We start from the raw sequence: 8,632 nt of genomic DNA, 5'->3' as shown, positions 1-8,632 counted from the left end.
GAAATGATTGGTTTTATTCTTTAGTAGAGCCTCCCTTTAGTGATTGTAAGTACTTGCTTAGGTCCCAAGAAGAACTTACGGTATCCCTCTTACACCAACTTACTGTTTTTGGTTTTTTGTGTTTTGTTTGTTCTTTTGGTTTTTGTTTTGAGATGGAGTCTTGCTCTGTTGCCCAGGCTGGATTGCAGTGGTGTGATCTCAGCTCACTGCAACCTCAACCTCTGCCTCCTGGGTTCTAGCAATTCTCCCACCTCAGCCTCTTGAGTAGCTGGTACTACAGGTGCGCACCACCACACCCAGCTAATTTTTTTTTTTTTTTTTTTGAGACAGTCTTGTCGCCCAGGCCGGAGTGCAGTGGTGCGATCTCAGCTCACTGCAACCTCCACCTCCCAGGTTCAAGCCGATTCTCCTGCCTCAGCCTCCCTAGTAGCTGGGATTACAGGCACCCTGCCACCACACCCAGCTAATTTTGGATTTTTAGTAGAGACGGGATTTCACCACGTTGTCCAGGCTGGTCTTGAACTTCTGACCTCAAGTGATCCACTCCCCTCGGCCTCCCAAAGTGCTGGGATTACAGGCTTGAGTCACTGTGCCCGGTCTAATTTTTGTACTTTCAGTAGACACGGGGTTTTGCCATGTTGGCTAGGCTGGTCTCAAGCTCCTGACCTCAGGTGATCCATCGCACCCAGCCTCCTTTTTTTATGTTGTTTTTTGAGACAGGGTCTTGCTGTCACCCAGGCTATAGTGCAGTGGTGCATTCATAGCTCACTGCAACCTCGAACTCCTGGGCTCAAGCACTCCTCCTGCCTTAGCCTCCCAAGTAGTTAGGACTACAGGTGCACACCACCACACCTGGCTCACCTCTCGAGCTCAAGTGAGCCTCTCACCTCAGCCTATGGAGTGGTTGGGACCACAGGTGCAAGCTACCGTGCCAGGCTATTTTTTTTTTTTTTTTTTTTTTTTTGAGGGGGGGAGAGACAGGATCTCACACTCCTGACCTCAAGCAATCTTCCCACCTCAGCCTCCCAAAGTGGTGGGATGACAAGCATGAGACACGGTGCCCAGCCTGATTATTTGTGTTGAGTGAGGTATACATTATCAGTAGAAATACTACATACATGTGTACATAATGTGTCAATTCTCAGGGAAATCAAGACATTCCATTTCTTTGATCCACGTAACATTTATAGTAGTGACTACAAGCAAGATGGAGCAGCAGAAATAAAAGCAAGTTCTTACAAACTGCATGAGAAGATTGGGTATGAAGAAACAATTCAAATTTTGGAAATAACCAATATTCAAGAGACCCTTCACCATTTCAGATACCATTGCAACTCTATTCTCCAGTCATAAGGCCAGGTTTTTTTGTTTTGTTTTTGTTTTGAGACAGAGTCTCTCTCTGTCACCCAGGCTGGAGTGCAGTGGCATGATCTCAGCTCACTGCAGCCTCCATCTCCCGGATTCAAGCGATTTTCCTGCCTCAGCCTCCTGAGTAGCTGGGATTACAGGTGCATGCCACCACACCCGGCTAAGTTTTGAATTTTTAGTAGAGATGGGGTTTCACCATGTTGGTCAGGCTGGTCTCGAACTCCTGACCTCGTGATCAGCCGCCTTGGCCTCCTAAATGCTGGGATTACAGGCATGAGCCACTGTGCCCGGCTCATAAGTCCACTTTGTAAGGGCTTTGTCTTCTCCTTTTCCCCACCTCTAGTATCAGAATACAAAATGAGTGAAAGCCCTGGGAACAGATAAAGGAGCTATAGGGCGACCTACAGCACTCTGAACAGCATGCAGGAGCTGTGCTTTAGCAATTACAGAATTGCTGAAACAGGCATTTGAGTAGATAAACAATTGAATATCAGCAATTTCCTACAGTTAAATCTATTAGGAGCCATTTCTGCTACAGCAGGTCAGGTAATCTGTCTTGACACTAAAGACCGCAGCTGAACATCAAACCAGCCTTTAAGGTAGGCATCAGCCCTGCAATCAAGAATGGGAAAGTAAAATGTTCCACCAAACTCACAGGCTCTTAAACAGATTGTTGAAGCCCCTGACTGAGAAAGTGAAGATTAGGGTCAAAGGTGATGGGGTTGTGGGGTGGGGAGTCCATAAGGGACTGAGTATAAAGTGCAAGATTGTGAGTATTGATTATTTTTAGGAAAATGGTCCATCGCTTTCACTGGTTCCTTGGAGTCTGTCCCAAAGAGGGTTAACCATTATATGGTAAGTTTACTAGCTTAAATGGCTTCAAGTCGTACCATACCAGTCACCCCTTTGCCATTTGCCATCCCCTCAATCCTGTGCATTTATTTAGCATCCTTGGTCTACCATCCACCTCCTTGGTATACCTTCCCCACTCAGCTCACACAGATCATTTCACTCAAATTCTTACGCTTTTTTTTTTTTTTTCTTTTTGAGCTGGAGTCTCACTTTGTTGCCCAGGCTGAAATGCAGTGGCACGATCTCGGCTCACTGCATCCTCCGCCTCCCAGGTTCAAGCGATTCTCCTGCCTCAGCCTCCCAAGTAGCTGAGACTGCAGGCACACGCTGCCAAGCCCGGCAAATTTTTTGTATTTTTAGTAGAGATGGGGTTTTACTGTGTTGCCCAGGCTGGTGTCAAACTCCTGAGCTCAGGCGATCCACACGTCTCGGCCTCCCAAAGTGCTGGGATTACAGGCATGAGCCACCACACCCTTCCCTACGCTCTTATTTTTTAATTACTTAATGTTCCATTTAGCAACTTCATCTTTTTGTTCTTTGTTCTTTTTTGAGATGGAGTCTTGCTCTGTCACCCAGACTGGAGTGCAGTGGCACAATCTCAGCTCACTGCAACCTCTGCCTCCTGGGTTCAAGCGATTCTCCTGCCTCAGCCTCCTGAGTATTAGCTGGGGTTACAGGCATGTACCACCACGCCTGGTTAACTGTATTTTTAGTAGAGACAGGGTTTTGCCATGTTGGCCAGGCTGGTCTCAAACTCTTGAGCTCAAGTGATCCATCCACCTCAGCCTCCCACCATGCCTGGCCTTCATCTCTTTTATTACATTTTTCCCTACCTTCTGGATTATTTTGAAGCAAATGCTAGAATTCATAATTTGACTCAAAGTATATACTTTTTTTTTTTTTTGAGACAGAGTCTCGCTCTGTTGCCCAGGCTGGAATGCAGTGGCGCAATCTCAGCTCACTGCAAGCTCCACCTCCCGGGTTCACGCCATTCTCCTCCCTCAGCCTCCCGAGTAGCTGTGACTACAAGCGCCCGCCACCATGCCCGGCTAATTTTTTTTTTTTTTTTTTTGTATTTTTTAGTAGAGACGGGTTTCATCGTGTTAGCCAGAAGGGTCTCAATCTCCTGACCTCATGATCCGCCCGCCTCGGCCTCCCAAAGTGCTGGGATTACAGGCGTGAGCTACCACGCCCGGCCGAAAGTATGTACTTCTAAAAGGATTATACTACAAAACATATCATTGTTGGCCAGGCTCTGTGGCTCACGCCTGTAATCCCAGCACTTTGGGAGGCCAAGGTGGGTGGATCACAAGGTCAGGAGATCAAGACCATCCTGGCTAACACGGTGAAACCCCATCTCTACTAAAAATACAAAAAATTAGCCGGGCGTGGTGGCGGGCACCTGTAGTCCCAGCTACTCGGGAGGCTGAGGCAGGAGAATGGCGTGAACCCGGGAGGCGGAGCTTGCATTGAGTTGAGATCGCGCCACTGCACTCCAGCCTGGGCAAGAGTGCGAGACTCCGTCTCAAACAAAACAAAATAATAATAATAATAAATATATATATATATATAATTTTCACACCTTTTAACATCTTTATAGCAAACAAGAATATGCTTTTCCCAATAGTCTCATAACTTTAAAGTTGATCTGAGTCAGGAACCAAGCGTCACACCCACATAGTTTGACATGTCCAAGTTCCTTTCAATTTAGGCTTCCCTGCCTTTTTTCCCCTTTGCAATTTATTTTAGAAACTGGACCACTGGTCCCGTAGCGTCTCCTACATTCTAGATTTTACTAATTGCTTCCCTGTGATGTAATTTAATGTATTCCTTCGTCCCATTTAATCCAATTCAAGTTCAGTTTTTTTGACATAGGATCTCACTCTGTTCCCCAGGCTGGAGTGGGTGGTGCTATCATAGCTCACTGTAACCTCAAACTCCTGAGCTCAAGCAATCCTCCTGCCTCACCCTCCCAAGCAGCTAGGACTACATACAGGTGCTCGCCACCACACACACAGCTAATTTAAAATGATTTTTGTAGAAATGGCACTCTTGCTAAGTATATTGTTCGGGCTGGTCTCAAACTCCTTGAGCCAAGTGATCTTCCCACCTTGGCCTCCCAAAGCACTGGGATTACAAGCATGAGCCTTTCGCCCAGCCTGTTTCATTTTTCTACAACAGGTGATGTGTATTTCCATCAGAATTTAAAATATTATATGAATTCCAAACATAATTTCGGTTGGCTCTTTTGTCATGTTAGTAGCCACTGATGATCATTACCTAGATCTCTAATTTGATTAAAGGTATATTATTTTACTTCTGTCTTTTCATTTTTATTGGAATACCTCTATAGTGAGAAAATTCCCCTTTTAACAAGTACCAAGTTACACTGCAATGTACCTACATATAAGGGAAGACCAGTTAAATGTTTAGCTCTTTTCCTTAATTTACTAGTTTTCAGAATTAATTCCATAATCAAAAGTGGGGAAATTAGGTTTCTTGGGTGTCATCATGAACTCATGGATTTCGACTTTTTATGTTTCACTTCATTGCAACCTTTCTTAGTGATACTCAAATTGTTCTAACCTTGGCCTGAGAGCCTCTTCCTGTTGGCCCTTAAGTCGTTTTGACAAAACCCCAGTAGTCCATGTTACTTTCTTTGCTTACTGATATAACAAGATGTTCCAGGCTCACCTTGTTCATTTCTGCTTCAGTCCAAGAAACAACTATTTATTTTATCTGTTATCTTACTTGTTTAACAACCCTATGTCTCCCCTGCACCCCCACAAAAGACCATAAATATAAGGACTGAATTACATCTAAAAATTTTCAGCACTTGTCCCAGTGCTGGACCAAAAAAGTGGCATGCAATAAATATTTATGGAATTGAACTAAAAGATTAACATTTGTCTAGCTATTCTACAAGTGTCTCTATTGAGTCAAACAAGGCACCACTGGCAACTGGCAACATTAAACACTTGCCTCTTCAGGTGGGCCAAGGGCAGGATTCAGGCTCTCCCTATAAATACTCTCTTATATGCTAGAGATAGACCCCAGCTAATGAGCTCTCCCTAGAACAGGTATTCTGTCACTCACTCACACACACACACACACACACACACACACACACACACACACCTTTTTTTACACTGAGAGAATGAGAAAAACATTAACTTTTAGTTCTCCGTGGGCCTTATTTTCTTAAAGGAGGAAATCATTACACAGTAAAGCATTAATGGCCAGTGTGTGCTTAATTTAACAACACTACAAATTCATGTAGAGATGTCTGATCCTCTAGAGAGGAAACTGTCATTCCTTAGCTGCAGTCCCCTCTTCAACTGAAGAATTACATTTCACCACTAGGTGTCCACAGGGGAACAAAGGATATCTTACACTTGCCCATTCCAAGTCCCTTTCACACACACTGCACTCCATAAACAACTTGTCCTAGGTCAATTTATAAAAACCTTAAATCTTATTTTATGTTGTACTACTACAGCTTAGGTCTTCATTTACTTTAACTTATAAGATATCCTGGCCGGACGCAGTGGCTCACACCTGTAATCCCAGCACTTTGGGAGGCTGAGGCAGGTGGATCACAAGGTCAGGAGTTCAAGACCAGCCTGGCCAATATGGTGAAACCCCGTCTCTACTAAAAATACAAAAATTAGCCGGGCATGGTGGTGCACGCCTGTAGTCCTAGCGATTCAGGAGGCTGAGGCAGGAGAATCACTCCCTTGAACCCGGGAGGCGGAGGTTGCAGTTAACTGAGATTGCGCCACTGACTCTAGCCTGGGTGACAGAGCGAGACTACGTATCAAAAAAAAAAAAAAAAGAGAAAACTTTCCTCTAACAAGCACACTGACTTCCAGAAGAGTCAAAGGCAGCCCTTTAGCAAATCTTACCACAACCATCCCTTCCCTGCCTTCATCTTGGCTACTCTTTTTTTTTTTTTTCCTGAACTCCAGTGATCCTCCTGAGTAGCTAGGGACTACTACTAGGGACGACTTAGGTGTGCACCACCATGCCCAGCTAAATTTTTTTTTAATTTGTAGTATAGATGAGGTCTCACTAGGTTGCTCAGGCTGTACTCCAACTCCTGAGTTCAAGCAATCCTCCTGCTTCGGCCTCCCAAGGTCCTAGGATTACAGGCATCAGTCACTGTGTGTGGTCTATCTTCGTTACTCTTAAACTTATCTTCACATTAGTGACAAATAACCTCATTCTGTAGCTTTTTTTTTTTTTTTTTTTTGAGAAAGGGTCTTGCTCTGTTACCCAGGCTGGAGTGCAGTGATCACAGCTCACTGTAACCTCAAACTCCTGGGCTCCGGTGATCTTCCTGCCTCAGCCTCCTCAGTAGCTGGCACTAGGGGCACATGCTGCTGTGCCTGGCTGATTTTTTTTTCTTGTTTTTGTAGAGACCAGTTCTCTCTAAGCACAAAGACTTATTTGTGCTTTCAACATCAAAACTTATAACAGGCCTGTAATCCCAACACTTTGGGAGGCTGAGGCAGGTGGGTCACGTGAGGTCAGGAGTTCGAGATCAGCCTGGGCAACATGGTGAAACCCCTATCTCTACTAAACATACAAAAATTAGCCAGGCATCATGGCCTGCGCCTGTGGTCCCAGCTACTAGGGAGGCTGAGGCAGGTGGGTCACGTGGGGTCAGGAGTTCGAGATCAGCCTGGGCAACATGGTGAAACCCCCATCTCTACTAAAAATACAAAAATTAGCCAGGCATCATGGCCCACGCCTGTGGTCCCAGCTACTAGGGAGGCTGAGGTGGAAGGATCGCTTAAGTCCTGGGGTCAAGGTTGCAGTGAGTTATTATCGTACCACTGTACTCCAGCCTGGGCAACAGTGAGACCCTGCCTCAAAAAAAAAAAAGAAAATGAAACAAAAACTTACTTGCCTACTCCCACCTAATTAGGTAGGAACATCACCTATATCCCAATATTTAACTTTGTTACATAATGTTTGAGCTGAGGAGGAAGTTCTGAGATCATAAAGAACAATTCCTTTATTTTTCAGAGAATCTGTGTGCCTAGAGAGGTTATATATTTTGTTCTCACCATTTAGCAGTTTGAAAAATCTGTATCACTTTTATATCACAGAACATTCCTCAACAATGAATCGTCATGGTCCCATTTAAAAAGCCTTGATGCAGGCACTACCATCCGTGCTTCATACATCCCAAACCTCTTCACGTAGATAGTTATCCCAGCCTTTGCCTCTAATGCACTGATTTCTAATTCTAAATGCAGAGATGGTGAATTTGCAGCAACTAGGCAAGGAGCTTTTGGGGCTACCTGGGCCTGCAATTGTCTAAGAAATAAGTTTTAAGAATTCAGAGGCTGAAAACAGCAATCCTACTTGGGATGTCGTCATGCTTACTTCAGCCTGAATCACACAGAAGAAAGCCTTCAAGCATGGACCTGAAGCAATGCTGTAAACACAAACATCAAAAGGAAGAGGAGGCCAGGTGTGGTGGCTCACGCATGTAATCCCAGCACTTTGGGAAGCGGAGGCAGGTGGATCACCTGAGGTCAGGAATTCAAGATCAGCCTGGCCAACATGGTGAAACCCTGTCTCTGCTAAAAAAAAAATAAAAAATAAAAAATACAAAAACTGGCCCGGCATGGTGGTTCACGCCTGTAATCCCAGCACTTTGGGAGGCCGAGGCAGGCAGATCACGAGGTCAGGAGATCGAGACCATCCTGGCTAACACGGTGAAACCCCGACTCTAATAAAAATACAAAAAATTAGCTGGGCATGGTGGCACCCGCCTGTAGTCCCAGCTACTCAGGAGGCTGCCGCAGAAGAATCGCTTGAACCCGGGATGTGGAGGTTGCAGTGAGCCAAGATCGTGCCACTGCACTCCAACCTGGGCGACAAAGGGAGACTCCGTCTTTAAAAAAAAAAAAAAAAAGAACAGGAAGGGTAGAGTAGGGCAATCTAATATAGAAAGGAGGAACCAGGGCAAGAGGAATGAAGGAAAACCTTGGACACAGTTGATTCCTAGTCAGTAAGCAGTGTTTATGACTAAGAAGACCCCTCCGTTCACTACTAAACACAGTGAATGACACACACACAGCAGGAGTACAATATTATATAACAAATAAACATATGCCAAAAACTACAAAATGGAACCCAAAGAAGAGGTTCCAACCTGAGATTCATTTCCTGGGGGACAGAAGTATGACCGTGTCCCCACCCTATGAAAATACAGGTAATGGGGTCACTGTATAATACACTGGACTCCAAAAATGGAGTCGGGAAGCCATAAACTAGCTGTGGACTCTGAGCAGATCCCTTTCACTTTTCTTTGCCTCAGTTTCCCCATGTATGAAATGGAGGTCATACCCCCATCTTCAAAGTGTGGACACAGTTTATAACACATGCAAAAAGTATT

Source organism: Homo sapiens, chromosome 5 (genome assembly GCF_000001405.40).
Source record: "Homo sapiens chromosome 5, GRCh38.p14 Primary Assembly".
Lineage (NCBI taxonomy): Eukaryota > Metazoa > Chordata > Mammalia > Primates > Hominidae > Homo > Homo sapiens.
The sequence above is the reverse complement of the archived record's forward strand: the minus strand, read 5'-3'. Positions refer to the sequence as shown.